A 22,779-nucleotide genomic window follows, 5' to 3' on the forward strand; every position below is an offset into this window, starting at 1 on the left:
ATACTAATATTTTACATGTATGTTTTCAAACTCCTGACCTCAGGTGATCTGCCTGCCTCAGCCTCCCGAAGTGCTGAGATTACAGGCGTGAGCCACCGTGCCTGGCCATATTTTACATGTGTTTTCTATCGGGCAATTGGTGGGATCATTTCTTTTATCATTCATAGTAGCGTTTAGGCCATTTTTTTCCTTTTTTCTTATCACCACCATTTGGGACAGGGAGTATGGTTGCTGTGCTGTTTTTGCTGTTGTTGATTTTCTCTCTCTCTCTCTCTCTCCCTCTGTCTCTGTCTCTATGTGTGTGTGTGTGTGTGTGTGTGTGTATGTATATATATATATTTTTTTACTATTGTGCAGATACAGTTGAGGTGCATAAAGAGAAGGAGTATGATGTGCAAGGCACACACCTGTACTCAGCTGAGTGCCACAATACACAGAAGCCCGAAATAGCTGTCGGAAGCCGGTGGCGGCTGCACTGCTGCTCCTAATATACACTTCCTTGCACCTGTGTCCTGAGCCCTTTGCCGAGTGACTTGGCTGTGCCCCTGGTGAGAAGAGGTGAACATTCCCCTTCATCCCATTCACCGACCTGCACGTGGCCGTGTGGCCTACTCTGGACTACAGCAGACACTGGGAGAGCCTACAGATGGGCTTGCAGTTTGCTGGCATCCTGCACTTTTGTCCTCTGCCATAAGCAGAACCGATCCAGGTGGGCACTTGTCCCACAGTGAGGAGACACCTGCAGGGCTCTAACCCATGTCCAGAGCAGAGCCCGGCCCACCCTTGTGCAAAGCCACCAACATTATCACGGCAAGAGTGCATGCAGCCTCTAACTCCCCCTCCAAAATCTCTTCCACCCTTTCTGTTTCCTTATCATATCACAGCCCACACCAAAAATTATCACTAGCTGGCATATAAGAACTAAAACATAGGTCATATTTTCTACGTTTAGTCAAAAAACTTGCCTACGACGTGTATTGTTTCAAAGGCTGACAGTTTCTCTCCAGTCATGGTTTTTTGGCAATATGAGCAATGGATGTCTGGGATGAAAACTCTGCCATATAGAATGTAGCCTACAGAGCACGTATTCAGATTTATGCCCTCTAAATGGATTACTACATTCTGAATGGCATTAACTTTCCAATGAGTAAGAGCCACTCATTCACCTCTCTCCTCTATTCCCAGTCCTTGAAATAGTTGATTTCAAATGTTTTCACCTAAGGTAAATGATAATATATGCAAAGATTTTGTACAAACTCCAGGGGAATTCCTGAGATATCTCACAAAGTTTGAATCTATGGAGACAAAGGAAAATTGTGCAACGAGTGGTGTTTTCTTTCACATAGTGCAGCAGACAGGATCACATGCCTCCAACGTGGGAAGGGGAACACGTCGACCCTAGGCAAGCAGAGGGCCTTAGCATGCTGACTCTGCAGGCTCATCCTGGGGCCTGCCTGAGCAGCCGTGTGGGCACCGGGACTGCAGTCCTTTCCCCTGCCTGCCCCAGCCCCACCATCTCTTGCCTGGAGGTCATTTGGCCACCCTCTTAGTGTCAAAGGCAGAAGCTATGAGAAAGAAGGATAGGAGAGGGATGCGGACCAGTTTTCAAATCCGGCAGGAGGAGCAAGGTCCTGGGGAGCATGTGGTGGAAGGTGAGCATCCCGACCTAGGAAGGCATTTCCGAATGCAGGGAACACAGTCACACCAAAGCGTATGTCCATAACCATCGTGGAAACTAACTAGGCCTTCTGACGAGAAATACAGAAGGGAGAGCCCATGCACACTAAACTACCACAATATTTGAGCAACAGAGCGAGAAAGAAGCCAGCACCATAATTTAAGAAGCTTAATATGGTGCTTGACTATTTGGGGTGAATAATTACTCAATATTTTAAAATTTTCTTTGTATATTTTAATTTATTACCTTTCTTCCAGAAGTCACACTCACCAAAATCTATTCTTTTGCAATTATACCAATGAAATTAGAGATATGGCCTCTGACCCTTTCCCACTTTTGAGTCTAGGACTTTAAGGAAACTACATCATCATTACGAAGACTGGGGAGCAACAGCGTCATGGGCACCGCTCTGCTCTGCATGAAGGAGTCCGACAGCTGCCAGCGGGGAGCTTTGGTGGTGCCAAATCCCCTGGAGAGAGGAGGCTGCAGCCCCAGGCAGCAGGGAGCCCTGGAGGAAGCTGCCTCTGCAGACTCGCGGGAATGCCAGCTCCGGGTTTCATTCCTTTGTTCACTGCTGCTTCCCAAGTGCCAGACGGAGCCTGGAACTCAGTGGCTGCTCTAAAGATACTGTTGAATGAGTAAATGAACGGAATTGCACAGGAGCGAGGCCACAGTTCTACAGCTGAGCTGCCTGTCACGGCCCTCACCCAACCACCACTGCTGGAAATGTGCAGACAGGGTGTGCCTCTCCCGTTTAAGGGAAATGTATTGAGATATCATTCACATACATGGCACGTGCTCAGGGAGCCCCCCAGGATGACAGAGCTCACCCATCACCCCACAGAACGTCTCTGCCCCATCCAGGCAGGCCCCAGAGTACACTGGGTCTGGCTTCTTTAGTCAGAGGTGGTTTGAGTGAGTCTAGAGACTTCATAGAATCTGGGTCACAGAGCAGGCACCCTTTTCCATCTGGTGTCTTCCACTCAGCGTAGCGGTCCCGAGATCCAGCGTGTCTCTGCTAGGATCAGCGGTTTGCTCCTTGGTGTTGCTGAGGAAAATTCTACTGCATGGAACACCACCATCTATCCACACTGGATAGACACCAGATGAGTGCTTCCGCCTGCTGTGAATGAAGCTCCTATGAACAGTCTCATATTAGGTATGAAAGGAAAATAAATCAATCACTAAACAAAGGGGAAAGTCAAGCTGGGAGCTGCCTCCCATCCTATTCCTAAATAAGATAGCTACAAAGATAAAAACGCTGTTCCTCCCTCACAATTTGCTCACAAGGAACTTCCTTGTGGAACAAGGACAGACAGAACTCAATCATCCCTCCGCTCACATGAGACAAACACAGATCGGAATGCTTCCTCCGCCCTGTTGTTTCACCCAGCCAGACTAAGGCATACGTAACTATTCCAGTAAATTGTGCATTCGGTGAAAGGCTAATCAGAAACTTAAAAGAATGCAGCCATTTGTCTCTTATCTACCTACAACCTGGAAGCCCCCTGCGCGCTTTGACTTGTCCTGTCTTTCCAGATAGAACCAATGTACATCATACATATAATGATTGATGTCTCATGTCTCCCTAAAATGTATAAAACCAAGCTGTTCCCCGACCACCATCACCAGGACCTCCTGAGGCTGTGTCACGGCACGTCCTCAACCTTGGCAAAATAACTTTCTAAATTTATTGAGACTTGTCTCAGATACTTTTTGGTTTACAAAGGTGTTTGTGGACATGTATATTCATTTCTCATAGATAAGTACCTAGAAGTTGAATTGCTTAGACATGAGTAAATGTATGTTTAACTTTTTCAGAAACTCCCGAACATATTTCCAAACTATACCGTTTTACACTCTGTCAGCAGAATTTAAAAGTTTCCACTGAACCACATCCTTGTCAACGTTTGGTATTGTCAATATGTTTAAGTTATTGATATTGTTCTAGTGAATGTGTAGAGACATCTCGTTTTGGTTTTAATTTGCATTTTCCTAATGAGGAATAATACTGAGAAATTTTTTCTTTCATATTGTCATATATGTGTCTTCTTTCTTAAAGTGCCTAGTCAAATATTTTGCTCATTTTTTATTGCTTTTTATTATAAACTGTGTTTTTTTAAATATTATCTTAACACACGTCTTTTGGCTGATATAATATTGTAAATATTTTCTCCCATTCTGTGGTCTACTTATTGTTTCCTAATGCTGTCTTTTGAAGAGCAAAATATTTTTCTCCATTTATGGAGACAAGATGGTCAACTTAGCTATTCCAAAATGTTTTTAAAATTCTAGTTTGTTTTAAAACAACCACAGCAAACTGCATGGATTTGTTCCACATCTTTGAAAGAAAAACATTATTTTATTTATTTCACAGTGGAAGATAAGTCAGTAAGGCCCCACTTCGGCAGGTTTTGTTTTCGTTTCCTCATGCCTCTGCAATGCTCGGAGTCACCCACGCCTTACTCACTGCGGCTGGAACGAACCCAGACTCCTCACTCCTCCCACAGCCTCTGGCGCAGGGCGCTCCTTGCTTGAAAGAAACGTTTGCGATTTTTAGTGGAAACGTCCGTGTTTTCTTGGTAACTGGTAAATGGCTGTAGATTACTGACACGCGGTCCTTTGTACGTAACAGAAGGCTTTGAGTGTTTCTGTGAGGATCACCCTGTGAAGAAACGGCTGCAGTGAGAGCAGCCGAGGCGGGACGCAGCCCCGGACGTGGGGTCAGAGAGGAGCCGTGCGTGGGGTCAGAGAGGAGCCGTGCGTGGGGTCAGAGAGGAGCCGTGCGTGGGGTCAGAGAGGAGCCGTGCGTGGGGTCAGAGAGGAGCTGAGTTCAGGACGGGCATGGCAGCCGCAGGAGGAGGGCAAGGCGGAGCCCAGGAGGGGCAAAGTGGACAAAGCCAGGGCTGGAGAGGGGAGACCCAGGATCAGCACCACGTTCCACGGGGATGGCACAGAAGCCTGAGAGGCCACGGCCAAATGTGGAAATTGGCTTTGCCAAATCTTGCATTTCAGAGAGAAAAGGCAATATGGCATTAATGCTTGCCTTGTTTAATTTTCGTAATTTTCCCTTTCTTCCTGCCAATAGCTTGCTTTGTTATCCGGAGGGTAGCCACGGTTTTAGCTCACAGTGATGTCAACTTGAAGCTTCTCTCCACAAGCAGCTGTGACCTCAGCTGCCGTGCAGTCAGCTTCCCCGGCCTCCCTCCCCAGCCTCCCTGGTCTCCCAGGCACAAGGCTGGGCACTGGCTTCAGAGTGGCTGCAAGGGCACGGCCCCCAGGCCTAGGGCTGATCAGCGTGAACAGTACCCAGCACACTTGCTTCAAAAAGTAAGAAGATATAGAACACAAGCTGCTTGTTCTCATGACTATAGCACAAACTATAAAACAAAACATCTTCCTCCAGAACACGGCAAGCTGGATGGACAGTGATCTGGACAAAAATTTGCTGTAGGTTTTGTAACTGGGGTTCAGTGAGGACCAGGCTCCCCAGAGCATACATGTGGAGACAATTAAGTTGATCCCATTTTCCAAGACTCAGAGGAGATGTATTTATATTAGGAATATAAACTTGCTATTAATGCAACTTCAGAATGTCCAGGTCATCCGTTGGGAAAAAAAAAAGAGTAAGTCTAGGGCTGGTTCGTGCTGTTGCTACATGGAGGGAATCCACATCCAAGCCTGCCGCTCACATGCTGGGACACATTGCCTCAGCCTCCATCTCTGGGAGTCCCACGCTTTCTCTCCTGGGTTGTCCCACTATTCCTTTTGAAGTCCTCATGTTAGTGACAGTTCAATTTTCTCTTCACCTTCAAAATTGCAGAGAACCTAATTTCTACTGACCAGTCAAGCTTGTTTCATTTATCTTCCATGTTAACTTCAATTAAAATGTTAACCATCTGGAATCTTTGGCCTCTTATGTGACAAAAATAGGCATTAAATTGTATCATTTCTTAAATTCTCTGTTGAAAAGTCCAAATACGTTACTGAATATGATACAGATTAGTAAGAATTTGGGCTCATTAAATGTAAGATAATTTCATAGCTTAAGGTAATTTCACACCCCAAGGGACTTATAACCTAAACACAAAGCAGATCACCAACATTAACTGTCAGCTGTCCACTGGAGAACTATCTCAGACAAAAAAATAAAATTTGGATTAGCTCTCCATGGTGCACAATACTTTCATGAACCATCTCTTTTGGGTTGGCAGCTGCAGTGTGTTCTGAGAGTATGTTAATGCTACAATAACAGTAAAAATAAAATTAAGTTGGGAACATACAGAAAAAAAGAAATTGATTACATTATTCCTAATGACGACCTGAATCAAAGTTGGCACTAAATAAATTTTTGTCAGAAAGGAGAAAAGAAATGAGAGAAATAAAAGAGAGGAGGCAGGATTTTATATTCTGCTCCCTTTTTGGAAAAACATATTTGTGTGAGCTATATGAAATTGCTATTCAAAACCATTTGCATGTTGGTCATTGGGTATGGCTCAGTCTAGTCTTATCACCACGGAGATATCTGCTAGGTATCTGAGAAAGATTTCTTGGTGGTCCTGTCAAACGGTGAGTTGGTGCTGCCACCTGGTTCCTCCAGGCTGCTTGACCTGCATGTGGGTACATGACTCACACAGGTTATCTTTTTCTCCATTAAGTAGCCAATCATTTGCCAAACAGTGATAACAGCACCTTTACTCTGAAAACACCCAGGCGTCCTCCTTCAATAAGTCTGAAATACACACAGTTTTCTTTAAGCTAAGGAAAAAGAATGAGCTCCCACATCTGCAAAGAATGCCTTAAACAGAATGTCAAAAACGAACAGATATTGTTTATTCCAGCATGTTCAGACCACCCCCCTTGGTGGCCAGACTTGGGACCACGATCACATTCTTGCTTTGTTGTCTAAAGAACATGGACTTGCCAAAGTTGTGCAAGCCCCATGACATGTGCCACATGATATGAATCATCTTATCACGCAAGCACCAGAAGGAATCTTCACAGCCTGTAATCACGGAGACAGCAGGCTAGACAGAGCCGGGGCTCATCCTTCCTCCCCTGCACATCCATGGCTGGGCTGCCAGGGCTGCAGGTGGACAGCACTTGTCCACAGGTGTGTGCCCAGCCGTGGGCTCCTCACCAGCCTGTGTCCACTCGGTTGGTGAAGCAGGACCACCACAGATCAAGAAAGCTGTCCTGGGGCATGGGTGAGCAAAGACTGCGGGCTCTGGTACCAGGCGACCCGGCCTAGTGTCTGAACCTGGACTTTCCTTGAGACCTGAGCGCCCTGGCCTGCAGCTGAGCCCTCCCGGACACCCTGGCTGCTCTGTCCTGCGTGAGGTGCAGCTGGAAAGCCTGGCTCAGTCCTCGTCACACAGACCTTGGAAAAGGCCAGGGCCTCTCAGCCTGATCAAGTCGACAGACTTTGCACGGGAGCAGTATGCCTTTAAATGGATTTTCCAAGACAGAATGTCATGGCTTCTCTCTGTGGCACAGCTCTTGATAAGTATTTGGAAAGTGAGGCTAAGAATAACAACAATGCCTATCAAACACACAGGTCTATTAGAACAATGAGACGATGAATTGGAATCAAGTGAAAACTAAAAAGCTCTACATAAACATGTTATTTTTATTACTACCTTTTGATGAAGGCAGAGCAACCAACCAGTTTTACGTTACAACACACTGTTCACTACTTCAGAACATTTCATTATGGATAGAATAGTACAGATAAAAAATAAACATGATACATCCCACCATTAGAAAGGCAGATCTCTAAGGCATCCACTCACAGCACCACCTACTCCTCCTCTGAGTGGTGTGGGGAGCACTGCTGATCGGAACCAGGCAGGGAAGCCTCTTGAGTCTACAGTGGCCAAGTCCTTCACCCCAGGCCAGAGGCCACACCAGAGCCCTGCCCTCCATGCCCCCTGGCTTTGTTCTCTGCTTTCCTGGCTGCTGTCTTCCTAGAAAGTCTTCATGGGCAGAGGACTTATACTGCTATTCTTATGCTGCAACCTGACACAGCTCTCTTCCTAGCAGTGGCTTTGCCAAGTTTGTTTTGTCCTAAGTCTTCCCCTGATAGAGGTCTCTAATAGATTTGGTATTTTACATATTAGAGTTTTCTTCTTTGACATTTATTCAGCAATTATTATTTAGATTAAATAATTTTATATTTCTTTTTCTTAAAGTCACATTTGACATTGGAAAAATTTATATAAAAACCATAGCAATATGTGTCAGAAACAGTATGTCAAAATTTTAAATGATTTACTGAAATTAAGAATATTAAATAAGACTCTGGGCTTTCTACATCTGCTTTATTTATCTATTTTTAGCTAGTTTTAAATAAATTTCATTTTAACCAAGGGGAAACAATATATTTTAAAATGTTTAGGTAACTCTAAGTATTGGAAAAATAAAAATGAGTTATTCTAAACTTTTGCTTCTCAAAAATATTACGAGAAAAATGCAGGCACATTTATGGTCGATGTGTGAAAGTTCCAGTAAGGATCCCAGGAAGTCAACCCTGTGACATTTCTTAGAAGGTGAGGTCACAGCACACTGCGTCTCTTGTGAAAATAGAGACAAGTGGTGGCTGGTGAAGCTCTGGGTGGGATGAAAGCCCCCAGCTCCCTGGTTTCACGGATAAAAGAGACCACTCTAGATCAGGGCATTCCGGCTGGTCCCAGGAGTCCTCACATGGGGCATCACAGGCTGCTGAGGTTATCTGGAATCTTGAATTGCCTTGGAAGCATCCTCATTCTTCTAGGATCTTATAACCGTGGGGTCCTGGGATCTTAGGAGTCTGATACATGCAGAGTCAATTCCCAGGACAGGCAGCCTCTGGAGCCCTGCCTCAGTTGTTCAATCATCAACTGTGGGAGGAGGGCCCAGAAGCCATGCTGTGCACAGAGACAAAGGTCCTGGGACAGAGGCCATGCTCACCATGCAGAACCCATGGGCAGAGGCCACGGTCACCACACAGAACCCACGGGCAGAGACCACGGTCACCACACAGAACCCATGTGCAGAGCCCATACTCACCACACAGAACCCACGGACACAGCCCATGCTCACGACACAGAACCCACAGGCAGAGGTCACGCTTACCACACAGAACTCATGGTCAGAGGCCACGCTCACCACGCAGAACCCACAGGCAGAGGCCACACTCACCAAGCAGAACCCACAGTCAGAGACCATGCTCGGCACGTGGAACCCATGGGCAGAGGCCTCACCATGCAGAACCCACGAGCAGAGGCCACACTAACCATGCAGAACCTAGGGAAGAGGCCAGGCTCACCACGCAGAACCCACGGGAAGAGGCCACACTCACCATGCAGAGCCATGTGCAGAGGCCACGCTCACCACACAGAACCCACGCTCACCATGCAGAGCCATGGGCCGACTAATCAGAAGACCAGAGCCAGTTAGGACTGTTAACTGCTTTATTTTCACTGCCCAAAAGAAATTCTCTCTTTTTTCTTCCAACTCTAATTATCAAACAAATACTATATTATGTTTTATTGAAAGATATTTTGTTTTAACTTTACCAAATTCTGTGCAGAAGTACTGGACGCCATTTCCATTTTCCCAATGAAGGGGATCCCTTTTGAGGAGCAGAAAGACATAAAACTCTGACATGGCACACACAGAGGGGAGGAGCTTGCAAACGGGGGAAATCTGAGGCAAGTCTCAAAATATGAAAAACAGTTGCTGCTTCTGGCCCCCTGATGGATGAACCACTACTTCTTACTTTTAAGTTGTTCCTCACAGCATTCCTGGACCCAGCTCACAGGTCAGTGGTTACTCAGCTAGAAAGAGCTGGAGTTTACCATCCAAGGTAGCTGTGGCAAGCTGTAATTGAAAATAAAATACCATGTAATTCCAATCGCCTTTTATTAATTGATAACTCTATAAGAAAATAAGCCCAAAGTGTGTTATTTTCCTTATTTTTAATGTTCTGGAACATCGAGTAAAATACATTAACATAGTAGAATCTATATATACAACAGATATTATGCTGATGATTAATTAATTCAAACTACATTTCACTGCTGTTTTAATAATTTTAGGTGCCCTGGTCAGAGCCGATCCCTCTATGGTGCACAAAAGGGCATGGAACATCCTGGTTAGCGCCTACACACCTCCTTCCAGGCAGAGCTGAGGAGCTGGCCGCAGGAGAGCACTCCTGACGGAGGAGGAGGAGGAGGAGGAGGAGGAGGAGGAGGTGGTGGTGGTGCCAGGAATCCACCCCACCCAGATAGCAACTGTACTGGCAAACTCTGATGTACGTACTTCCAGTACTTTCAATTTATGGAGTCTGTTGAAGGCTTGCAACTTCCAGAGGAAGACTTGAACTATAAACTGTGGTTAATTTTTGTCAACTTCAGATTCTGGCACATTAGCAGCTCCACCTCCCTGACCCCACCCTCATGCACACCTTTCAAAAGTGGTCTCCATAGGGCCTGCAGAACCCAGGATGGGCAGAAAGCACCCATCCTCCAAATGTCAGGGACCTGTTCTCTGATCAGCGATGGATGCTTCTTCTTACAGAGGGTGCAAATAGGCGAGCAGCCATTGTTACTGTTCCCACATGGCTACAAGCCCCTTTCCTCCAGGAGAAGCAACTTCCAGGGCATTGAAGGAGTCAGCGCCCTTGACCCTCCTTCAATTTTCTCTTCCCCCTATAGGAGCCAGACAGTAAAAAATGTATAGGAGCCAGACATTCAAAAACAACTATGTACTTGGGAAAAATTAGAAAGTGACTGTGGAGTCCAAGGTGGGTGGATCACTTGAGGTCAGGAGTTCAAGGCCAGCCTGACCAATGTGGTGAAACCCTATCTCTACTAAACACAAAAATGAGCTGTGTTGTGGCAGGCACCTGTAATCCCAGCTGCTCAGGAGGCTGAGGCATGAGACTTTCTTGAACCCAGGAGGGGGAGATTCCAGTGAGCCAAGATCATGCCACTGCCCTCCAGCCTGGGTGACAGAGCAAGACCCTGTCTCAAAAAAAAAAAAAAGAAACAAAGGAAAAGAAAACAAAAGAAAGTGACTGTGCATACCACAGGAAAGGCTCAAAAAAAGAACTAAGAAGATTTGAAGTTTATATCTGAGGCTGGTCCTTGGCACAGAGTCAAGCTACAACAATCAAAATAAACAAAAATAAACAAAACAATGACAAAAAAAATCAAACCCAGGAGAAGGGGGAGAACTTTACTTCAGAATTATCACAATACTAGATTCAACTGTCAAGTTTTCAATTAAAAGATCACAAGGCATTCAAAGAAATAGGAAAGTATGGCCTATTCAGAGGAAAAAGATAAACAAATTAATAGAAATTGCCTCTGAAAGCAATCTGATGGCACTTCTACAGCACAACGACTTTAAAACAATTGTTTTCAATTACTGAAACAATTAAGAGAGATGTGGATAAAGTGAGGAAAATTATGTATGAACAAAATGGAAATATCAATAAAAAGAGAACCTAAAACGAAACAAAAAAATTTTCAAGCTAAAAATATAAAATAATTGAAATAAAGTATTTACTAGAGGAATTCAAAGGCAGGTTTGAGCAGGTGAAGAAAAAATAGAAACTATCAAGTCTGAGGCACAGAAAGAAAAAAAGCACTGAAAAAAGTGAACAGAGCCTAAAGGGAATGTGGGACACCATCAAAGGGACCAACTTATGCATTGCAGGAGAAGAAATAACAGTTGAAAACTCCCAAATTTGATTTTATGAAATGGCTATAAATGTATATATATACATTTATATATGTATATAAATGTATACATATAAATGTATATCCAAGAAGTTCAATAAATTCCAACTAAGAGGAACTCAAAAAGTCCCACACTGAGACACATCATCATCAAACTTTCAAAGGCCAAAGGCAAAGAGAGAATTCTGGAAGGAACAAGAGAAAAGTCTTATCACACACAAAGGATTCTCTGAGATTATCAGCAGATTTCTCATAATAAACTTTGCAGACCACAAGGCAATGGTCTTTTTCCCTGGGCTAAAATAAAACTCAAACAAAAAAACCCCCAAAAAACTCTCAACCAAGAATCTTATACCAGCAAAGTTGCCCTTCAAAAGTAAGGGAAAAATTAAGACATTCCCAGATAAATGAAGCTGAGGAAGTTTGTTACCACTAGACCTGCCCTGCCAGAAATGTGTACGGGAGCCCCACAAGGTGAAATAAAAGGACCCTAGACAGGAATTTGAAGGTGTATGAAAAAATAAAGACCTTAATAAAGGTAAGTACATGGGCAGTTATAAAAGCTAGTATTATTATAGCAACACTGTATAACTCCACTTTTTGTTTTCCACATGATTTAAGAGACTAAAACATTAAAAAAACTATTAGTCTAAAAGCTAGTATTATCATAACTTTGGTTTGTAACCCCACATTTTATTTTCTAAATAATTGAAGACACTAATGCATTTAAAAGAATCACTACTTTATGTTTTGGAGAACAAAATATGTAAAAATGTAATTTTGTGATATCAACAACTGATGGGTGGGGACAGAGATGTAAAGAAACATAATTTTTTGTGTTACTGAAATTCACTGGTATAAATTCAAACTAGAGTGTTATAACTTTAGAATACTACATGTAATTCCCATGGTAGCCACAAAGAAAACAGCTATAAAATATACATAAAAGAAATTGAGAAAGAAACTGAAGCATTTACCTAAAAAATTTACTTAACAGAAGAGAAGGCAGTAATGCAGAAAATAAGGGACAAAAAACTATCAGGTATATTGAAAACAAACAGAAACATGACAGTAGTTAAGTCCCTCGTCATCAGTAATTAGTTTAAATGTAAATGGATTAAATTCTCCAATGAGAAGGCAGATTGACAGAATGGATTAAAAACACATAATTCAACTATAGTTGCCTCTCAATATACTTGGGGTATTAGTTCCAGGAACTCCCATATAAAATAAAATTTGCACATACTCAAGTCCCATAGTTGGCCCTGTAAAGCCTGCATATACAAAAACTTGGCCTTCCATATATGCGAGTTTTACATCCCATAAATACTGCAATTTTTATTTGCATTGGTTAAAGAAATCCACATACAAGCAGACCTGCACAGTTTGAACCCATGTTGTTCAAGTGTCAGTTGCATAAGCTGTCGTATGCATTCCTTTTGAATGGAATGGTGATCAAAAGAAAGCAGGGGTAGATACACCAATAACAGAAAAAAAAAAGCTTTAAGTCAAAAAGGCTAAAAGAAACAAAATAGGACATTACAGATTAATAAAAGCTATAATACAAAGAAATATAAATATTATAAACATTTACATACCTAATAACAGACCATCAAAATATATGAAGCAAAAACTAGTAGAATTTAAGGAAGAAATAAACAGTTTTACAATAATAGCTGGAGGTCTCAATACTCCTCTTCTAATAATGGATAGGACAACCAGACAGAACATAGGTAAGGACATAGAGAATTTACACAACATGATAAACCAAGTAGATCTGCTAAACACTTTACCAAACAAGAACAGCATACATCTTCTTCTCAAGTGCACATGGGACATTTTCCCAAAATAGATCATATGTTAAGCCACAAATTAAATCTCAATAGATTTAAAAAGATAAACATCATACACAGTATCTTCTCTGACCATATAGGATGAATTTAGAAATTGATAATATAAGTTAAACCTGAAAAGTCAAAAACTGTGGAAATTAAATGACACACTCAAACTACCAAGGGATCAAAGAAGAAATAATAAGAAAATCAGAAAATACTTAGAGATGAATAAAAATAACACACCATGCAAAAAATCTGTGACACAGCAAGAGCAATGTTAAGGGGGGAATTTATAGCTATAAATGCTTGTATTAAAAAAAAAACAAAACAAGAAGAGCCAAATCAGCAACCTAACTTTACAACTTTGCAAAGTAGAGAAAGAACAACAAGTGTTATCACAAAGCTAGCAGAGGAAGTAAATAAGAAAGATCAGAGCAAAAATAAACAAAATGGAGAAAAGAAAAACAGAGAAAAACAAGGAAACAAAAAAATGATTCAATGAAAAGAAAAACGAAATTAAGAAACCTCTAACTATATGGACTAAGAAAAATAAATAAGTGAGTCTTATTTATAAGTGAGTAATTTGAGTAATTACTCAAATCAGAAATGAAAGTTATGGACATTACTACTAATTCTTCAGAAATAAAATCATTGTAAGAAAGTACTATTAACAATTGTATGCCAACATATTGGATACCCTAGATAAAATGTACACATTCCCAGAATCACAAAACTTACCAAGACTGAATCACAAAATTTGAATAGACCTATAACTGGTGAGGAAATTGAATCAGTAACCAAAAAAAAAAAACTCCTGATAAAGAAAAATCTTAGGCTGGGCACGATGGCTCACACCTGTAATCTCAGCACTTTGGGAGGCCGAGGTGGTCACCTGAGGTCAGGAGTTTGAGACCAACCTGGCCAACATGGTGAACCCCCATCTTTACTAAAAATTAGCCAGGTGTAGTGGCACGTGCCTGTAATCCCAGCTACTCGAGAGGCTGAGGAAGGAGAATCGCTTGAACCTGGGAGGTGGAGGCTGCAGTAAGCTGAGATTGTGCCACTGCACTCCAGCCTGGGCAACAGAGAGAGACTGTCTCAAGGAAGGAAGGAAGGAGACAGAGAGAGGGAGGGAGGAGAGGGGGGAGAGAGAGAGAGAAAGAAAGAAAGAAAGAAAGAGTAGATCCTAGACTCGATGGCTTTGCCAGTGAATTCTACCAAATATCTGAAGAAGAATTAACACCATTTTTTCTGAAACTTTTACAAAAAACTGAGGAGAAAGAAACATTTCCTATCTCATTCCCCCAATACCAAGGCCAAATAAGATTCCACAAGAAAACAGACCCATATTCCTTATGAACACTGATGTATAAATCCTCAACAAAATACTAGCAAATGGAATTCAGCAGCATATTAAAATGATTATGCATCAAGACAAATTGGAATTTATTCCTGGAATCCAAAGATGGTTCAACAAAAATTGATCAATGCAATAAATGTCATTAATAAAATTAATGATACAAAACCCACATGATCATCTCAATTTATGCAGAAAAAGCATTTGACAAATTCAACACATTTTCATAATTTAAAAAACCCCCAACAAACTAAGAATAGAAGGAAGTTACATCAACACAATAAAAGCTGTATATATTACTTCATTTTGTGCTGCTATAAAAGACTACCAGACTGGGTAACTTATAAACAAGCAAACAACCAACAACAAAAAAAGTATGTCTCATCGTTCTGGAGATAGGAATTCCAAGATCAAGCTGTTAGCAAGTTGGTACCCACTAAGAGCCTGGTTTCCATTTCTAAGATGGCATCTTGAAAACTACAACTTCCAAAGGGGAGGAATACTATTCCTTACATGGAAGAAGAAGAGTGGAATAGCCAAAAGGGCAGAGGGGGGTGTCAAACTTGCCCTTTGATATCAGCCACCAATCTCACCCATACGGATGAAGCTCTCATAAGCTAGGCACTTCTTAAAGGTCCCACCTCTTAATACTGTCAAAATCACAATTATATTTTAATGTAAGTTTTGGAGGAGACAGACATTCAAACCATAGCATCACATATGAAAAACCAACCACAGGTCATTATACTCGATGGTGAAAGACTAAAAGCTTTTCCTTTAAGATCAGGCACAAGGCAAGGATGCCCGCTTTCATCATTTATATTTAGAATGGTATCAAAGTTCAAGCCAGAGCATTTGGGCATGCAAAATAAATTAAAAGTACCCAAATTGAAAAGGAAATAAAATTATTTCTGTTCACAGATTATATGATCTTACAGATAGAAAACCCTACACATTCCACTCACAAAAAGCCTGTTAGAATTAATAAAATCAGCAAAATAGCATGATATAAAGTCAACATGCAAAATCCAGTTGCATTTCTATAAACTAACAATGAGCAATCTGAAACTCTAAAAAGGAAATTATTAAAACAATTCCATTTAAAATAGCATCAAAATAATAAAATACTTAGGAATTAACCAAGGTGATGAAATTAAATTGTACAATGAAAACTACAAAACATTGCTGAAGGAAACGAAAGACATTCATTAAAACACTTCCCATGTTCATAAATTGGAATACTTAATATCACTAAAAAGTCTATATTACCCACAGTGATCTACAGATTCAATATGATCCCTATCAAAATCCCAATGACATTTTTTACAGAAGTAGAACAACCCATTTTGAAATTCATATGAAACTCTGAATAGTAAAAACAATCTTGAAAAGGAAGAACAAAACTGGAGGATTCACACTTTCTGATTTCAAAACTTACTATTAATACATATCTTCAATAATCAAAACAAGATGTCACTGGCATAAAGATCGACCTATAGACAAATGGGATAGAATAGAAGGCCCAAAGGTAAACTTTCACATATATGGGTCAAATTATTTTTGAGAAGGGCTCCAAGACCATTCAATGGAGAAAAGACAACCTTTACAACAAATGGTGCTTGGAAAAATAGACATCCACACGCAAAAGAATGAAGCTGGATCCTTTCCTTACAGCACAGAGAAAAACTACCTCAAAATGCATCAAAGACGTAAATGTGAGATCCAAAATAATAAAATTTTAGAATAAAATATAGACAAACAGCTTCCAGAATTAGGGTTGGCAATGATCTATTGGATATGACAACAAAGGCCCAGGCAATCAGAGAAAAAATAGACAAGTGGAAAAATTTTTTAAGTTTGTGCATAAAAAGGTACTATTAAAAGAGTGAAATAGCATCCACAGAATTTAAGAAAATATTTGCAAATCATCTACCTGACAAGAAGCAAATTTGGTGTCTGGTAACAGCCTACTCTCCACTTCTAACAAGGGATGTCTGACAAAGAATTAATATCCAGGATATATAGAGGAGCCCTAAAACTAAACAACATAATCAAACAGCCCAATTTAAACAATGGACAAGAGACTTGAATAGACATTCCTCCAAAGAAGATATACAAATGCGCAAGAAGCACATGAAAAGATGCTCGGCCAGGCACGGTGGCCCATGCCTGTAATCCCAGCACACTTTGGGAGGCCAAGGTGGGCAGATCACCTGAGGTCAGGAGTTCAAGACCAGCCTGACCAACATGGTGAAACCCCATCTCTACTAAAAATACAAAATTAGCTGGGTGTGGGGGCGCATGCCTGTAATCCCAGCACACTTTGGGAGGCCAAGGTGGGCAGATCACCTGAGGTCAGGAGTTCAAGAGCAGCCTGACCAACATGGTGAAACCCCATCTCTACTAAAAATACAAAATTAGCTGGGTGTGGGGGCGCATGCCTGTAATCCCAGCTACTTGGGAGGCTGAGGCAGGAGAATCACTTGAACCTGGGAGGTGGAGATTGTGGTGAGCCGAGATTGCACCATTGCACTCCAGCCTGGGCAACAAGAGCAAAACTCCATCTCAAAAAAAAAAAAAAAAAAAAAAAGAAATAAAGAAAAGATGCTCAACATCACTCATCATTTGTAAAATGCAAATCAAAACTACAAGGAGATGCCATCTCACACTCATTAGGACATGACTATTAAAAAAACAAAATAAAAAGTGTCAGTGAGGCTGTGGAGAAAGTTAAACTTTTGTTCATTGTTGGTGGGAATGTAAAATGGTGCAGCTGCTATGAAAACAGTATGAATTTTTTTCAAAAAATTAAAAACAAAATTATCATATTATCCAGCAATTTCACCTCTGGGTATATATGCAAAAGAACTGAACGTAGGGTCTCTAGGAGATATTTCTACACTTATGTTTATAGCAGCATTCTTAACAACAGCTAAAACATGGAGGCAATCCAAGCATCCATCAATGGATAAATGGATAAGCAAAGTGTGGACCACACAATGGCAAATTATTCAGTCTTAAAAATGAAGGAAAGTCTGGCACAGGCTAAAACATAAATGAACCTTGAGGACATTATGCAAAGTGAAATAAAGCAGTCACAAAAAGATAAATGTGAGGTACCTAAATAGTCAAAATCAGAGATACAGGAAGTAGAATGGTTGTTGCCAGGGACTGAGGAAGGGGATGGGGAATTATTACTTAATGGGCATGAAGTTTCAGGCTTACAAGATAGAATTGTGGAGAGGGATAGTGGTGGTGACTGTAGAATGTGATGAATATATTTAACACCACTCACTATAGACTTAAGAATGGTTAAGATGATGAATTTTATGTGTATTTTACCACAATAGAAAATTGGGAAAAGAAATACATTTCTATAACTTCTTACTATTATTTGTAATGGGGTTTCAGGTCGAGAGGAGCCCAGAACATGGGTCTCTTGCCCCGTTTCTGTCCAGAAAAGCAGAGACGGCTCACCCAATATATTGGTTAGGATAAAAAATGAGTCATGCCCATCCTCACACTTTTTTTGGAGGGAGTCAGCTTAATAAGGCCAGCTCTCTTATATGCCGTAGTATTAGTCTGTTTTCACACTGCTATAAAGAACTGCCTGAGACTGGGTAATTTATAAAGGAAAGAAGTTTAATTGACTCAGATTTCCACATGGCTGGGGAGACCACAGGAAACTTACAATCATGGTGGAAGGGGAAGCAAACACGTCCTTCTTCACATGTCAGCAAAAAGGAGAAGTACTGAGCAAAGGGGGAAAAACCCCTTATAAAACCATCAGATCTCATGAGAATTCACTCATCATCATGAGAACAAATGAGGGTAACTGCTCCCACAATTCAATTACCTCCCACTGGGTCTCTCCCACAACATGTGGGGATTATGGAAACTACAATTCAAGATGAGATTTGGGTGGGGACACAGCCAAACCAATCAAACAGCATGGGGGCAACCACCCCCATGATCCAATCACCTCCCACCAGGTCTCTCCCTAGACACATGGGGATTATGAGGATTACAATTTAAGATGAGATTTGGGTGGAGACATAGCCAAACCAAATTATTCTGCCCCGGCTCCTCCCAAATCTCATGTCTTCACATTTCAAAACACAATCATGCTTTTCCAACAGTCCCCCAAAGTCTTAACTCATTCCAGCATTAACCCAAAAGTTCAAGTCCAAAGTCTCATCTGAGACAAGCCAAGTCCCTTTGACCTATGAGACTGTAAAATCAAAAGCAAGTTAGTTACTTCCCAGACCCAATGGGAGTATAGACATTGGGTAAATACCCATTTCAAATGGAAGAAATTGGCCAAAACAAAGGGGCTACAGGTCCCAGAAGAGTCCAAAATCCAGTGGGGCAGCCAAATCTTAAAGCTCCAAAAATCATCTCCTTTGACTCCATGTCTCACATCCCAGTCATGCTCATTAGAGGCAGGTTCCCATGAACTTGCATAGCTCCACCCCTGTGGCTTTGCAGGGTACAGCCTCCCACCCAGCTGTTTTCACGGGCTAGAACAGAGTGTCTGCAGCTTTTCCAGAAGCATGGTGCAAGCTGTTGGTGGGTCTACCATTCTGGGGTCTGGAGGATGGTGGCCCTCTTCTCACAGCTCCACTAGGCAGTGCCCCAGTGGGGACTCTGTAGGGGCTCCAAACCCACATTTTCCTTCTGCACTGTCCTAGTAGGGGTTCTTCATGAGGGCCCCACTCCTGCAGCAAACTTCTGCCTGGACATTCAGGTGTTTCCATACATCCTTGAAATAAAGGTGGAGGCTCCCAAACCTCAATTCTTGACTTCTGTGCATCTGCAGGCCCAACACCATGTGTAAGCTGCCAAGGCTTGGGGTTTCCACCCTCTGAAGCAATGGCCTGAGCTGTATGTTGGCCCCTTTTAGCCACGGCTGTGATGCAGGGCACCAAGTCCTGAGACTGCACAAAGCAGCAAAGCCCTGGGACCAGCCCATAAAGCCATGTTTTCCTCCTAGGCCCTTGGGCCTGTGATGGGAGGCACTGCCATGAAGAGCTCTGACATGCCCTGAAGACATTTTCCCCATTGTCTTGGTGATTAACATTTAGCTCCTCATTACTTATGCAAATTTCTGCAGCCAGTTTGAATTTCTCCTCAGAAAATACGTTTTTGTTTTCTGTCACATTGTTAGGCTGCAAATTTTCTGAACTTTTATGCTCTGCTTTCCTTTTAAACGTAAGTTCCAATTCCAAACCATATCTTTGTGAATACATAAAACTTGATGCTTTTAAGAGCATCCAAGTCGCATCTTGAACACTTTGCAGCTTAGAAACTTCTTCCGCCAGATACCCTAAATCATCTGTCTCAAGTTTAAAGTTCCATAGATCTCTAGGGCATAGGCAAAATGCTGCCCATCTCTTTGCTACAGTGTAACAAGAGGGACCTTTACTCCAGTTCCCAAAAAGTTTCTCATCTCCATCTGAGACCACATCACCCTGAACTTCATTGTCCATCATTGTCCATATCACTATCAGCATTTTGGTCAAGGCCATTCAACAAGTCTTTAGGAAATTCCAAACGTTCTCACATCTTCCTGTCTTCTTCTGAGCCCTCCAAACTCTTTCAACCTCTGCCTGTTACACAGTTTCAAAGTTGCTGTAAAGATACCCAAAGAGGTTTACCTGACTCACAGTTCTGCAGTGCTGGGGAGGCCTCAGGAAACTTTCTGTCATGGCACAAGGGAAAGCAAACATGTCCTTCTTCACATGATGGTAGGAGGAGAATTGCTGAGAAAAAGGGGGAAATCCCCTTACAAAACCATCAGCTCTTGTGAAAACTTACTTGCTATCATGAGAATAGCATGGAGGTAACCACCACCATGATTCAATTACCTCCCACCAGGTCCCTCCCATGACACATGGGGATTGTGGGAACTACAGTTCAAGATGAGATTTGGGCAGGGACACAGCAAAATCATATCAGCTGTCCACCAAATATTAACTTGGCGGGGCAGGATCTGCATTTTGAGGGTAAATTCAGGAGAGTATTAACAAGCTCTTTTGCCAGATGTCTCAGTCTGCTTAGGCTGCCATAACAAAATAACATAGATGGGGGGCCTAAACACAGATATGTAATTCTCACAGTTCTGTAGGCTTGGAAATCCAAGACCAACTTGCCAACTTGGTTGAGTTCTGGTGATGGCTCTCTTCCTGGCTTGCGGAAGGATACCTTCTGACTTTGTGTTCACATGGCCTTCCCTTGGCACATGTGGAGAGAAACATCTCTCTTTCTTCTTCTTTTATAATGTCTCCAATCTTATAGAATTAGGACTCCACTCTTATGACCTCATGTAACCCTAATTTCCTCCTAAAAGGCCTATATCCAAACACAGTCATACTGGGGGTTGGGCCTTCCACATATAAATTTTGAGGAAATACAAGTGCTTCAGAATATTCTGCCCTTGGCCCCTGTACACTCATGTTCTTCTTACATGTAAAATATATTCATTCCATCCAAACAGACACAAAAGTCTTAACTCATTCCAGCATCAACTCTAAAGTCTAAAAGTCCAAAGTCTCATCTAAATCTCTATCTGTTAACCTTTGAAAACGAAAGTTATATTTTTCCAAATTACAATGGTAGGACAGGCATAACATAGACATTCCCATCCCAAAAGGGAGAAACAGGAAAGAAGGAAGGGGTGACAGGTCCCAAGGAAGCCCAAAGCCTAGCAAGGCAAACTCCATTTAATTTTAAGGTTTGAGAAAAACCCTCTCAGCTTCATGCCCTGCCCTCAGGCCCACTGGGGTGGCAGCAGCATCTCCATGACTTGGAGAGTGGTCCCTCCCAAGGCACTGAGCAGGGACATTCCTGACCCACTAAAGCCAGACAAGCTGTACCCTGTGAAACCAAATGGGAATTAGCGCTGCCTGATGGGGCCTGTGGTGGGAGTGGCAGCCCTGCTCACCACTGAATCATCTTCAGGATCATTCCCTTTTCTTGAGAAATAGTGCACATTTACAGCCAAAGAGCCCTACAGTTCTGTTTTATAGACTCCAAAGCACCTGACAGGCTTCCTTCATTCTGTTCCTCCTCTTTCTCTGTTCCCATTAGTTTACACTGGCAATGTTTCCACTGGTATAATCCCATCTCTATTCCCAGCATCTGCTGAGATAGCTGATTAAGTCCATGAGTTACACCCATAATCTCTTTAACAAATGTTTTTTAGCCACACCCTTAGTGGTCTTTTTAGAACAAGCTTTCCTATTTTTTGCCATACTGATAGGCTAATAATTTTCCAAATCTTCATTTTACTGTAAGCAATCAGGAGGAACCATGCCATTCCTTCAATTGTTTGCTCAGAAACCTCCTCAGCTAAATATCCAATTCCATTGCTCACAAGTTCTACTTTGCACAAAATACTAGAATACAATTCAGCCAATTTCTTTGTTCCTTTATAACACAGATGATCTTTCCTCCAATTTTCAGTAACGTGATTTTCACTTCCATTTGAGACCCCACCAGATGGCCTCTAACATTCCTGTTTTTACCCATATTCTGTTCATAATTATTTACATTCCCTCTCAGAAGATAGAAGCTTTCTCTCCAGCTCTCCTGTTTCCTTTCAGAACCCTCACCAGAGTCACCACTATTGTCTGCATCTGCAGCATGCACATCACAACTCCCCCAGACTCTATCCATCACCTTTCAATGGCACTTCCACATTCGTAAGTATTTGTTACAGCAGCAGCACTCTACTTCCTGCTACTAAAATCTGTCTTAGTTCAAGCTGCTGTAACAAAATACCATATACTACATGGCTTGAAAAATAGAAATTATCATTTGCAGTTCTGGAGCTAGAAGTCTGAGACCTAGATGCCAGGATGGTCACATTCTGGTGAGGACTTGCGCGGTTGCCTTCTCACTGTGTCCTCACGTGACATTCCATCAGTTTACACATGAGTGGGAAGAGAGGGAGACAGACAGAAGAGAGATCTTTCTTCCTCTTCTTACAAAGCCAACAATTCTATCAGATTAGGATCTCACCTCTATGAACTCTTTTAACCTTAATCACCTCCTAAAAGCCCTATCTCCAAGTATAGTGATGTCAGGGGCTAGAACTTCAACATAAAAATTTTGGGGTAAAGGAGCATGCAATTTGGTCCATAGCACAAGATGTGGCTTTATAAGCTTTTTAAATAACAAAAG

General features: G+C 41.9%; 1 protein-coding gene across 11 annotated transcripts in view, besides 2 other annotated features; it reads right to left on the bottom strand.

Annotated features, from left to right (window-relative positions):
- Nucleotides 1–22,779, bottom strand: part of WDR27 (WD repeat domain 27) — a 275,610-nt gene that overhangs the window by 21,677 nt on the left and 231,154 nt on the right. For 5 of the 11 annotated variants that reach the window (XM_017010669.2, NM_001202550.2, NM_182552.5 and 2 more), the window contains one exon: nucleotides 9,116–9,538. The exons of 3 other annotated variants lie outside the window; for them this stretch is intronic. In XM_017010669.2, coding sequence (XP_016866158.1) covers nucleotides 9,488–9,538 — 51 coding nt within the window. In that variant the 3' untranslated portion in view covers nucleotides 9,116–9,487. Of the gene's footprint in view, nucleotides 1–9,115; nucleotides 9,539–10,124; nucleotides 10,369–22,779 lie in introns of those variants that run through there. 3 more of the 11 variants (NR_146875.2, NM_001350623.2, XM_047418584.1) reach the window with 3 other exon arrangements.
- Nucleotides 950–1,824: an enhancer, noted in NCBI's record as "H3K4me1 hESC enhancer chr6:169849141-169850015 (GRCh37/hg19 assembly coordinates)". NCBI's record gives its function as "activates a minimal SCP1, AML or CMV promoter by ChIP-STARR-seq in naive H9 embryonic stem cells {active_cell/tissue: H9 hESC(naive)}" and the evidence as "EXISTENCE:reporter gene assay evidence [ECO:0000049][PMID:30033119]".
- Nucleotides 1,825–2,698: an enhancer, noted in NCBI's record as "H3K4me1 hESC enhancer chr6:169850016-169850889 (GRCh37/hg19 assembly coordinates)". NCBI's record gives its function as "activates a minimal SCP1, AML or CMV promoter by ChIP-STARR-seq in primed H9 embryonic stem cells {active_cell/tissue: H9 hESC(primed)}" and the evidence as "EXISTENCE:reporter gene assay evidence [ECO:0000049][PMID:30033119]".

This window comes from Homo sapiens, chromosome 6 (genome assembly GCF_000001405.40).
Source record: "Homo sapiens chromosome 6, GRCh38.p14 Primary Assembly".
Classification (NCBI taxonomy): domain Eukaryota; kingdom Metazoa; phylum Chordata; class Mammalia; order Primates; family Hominidae; genus Homo; species Homo sapiens.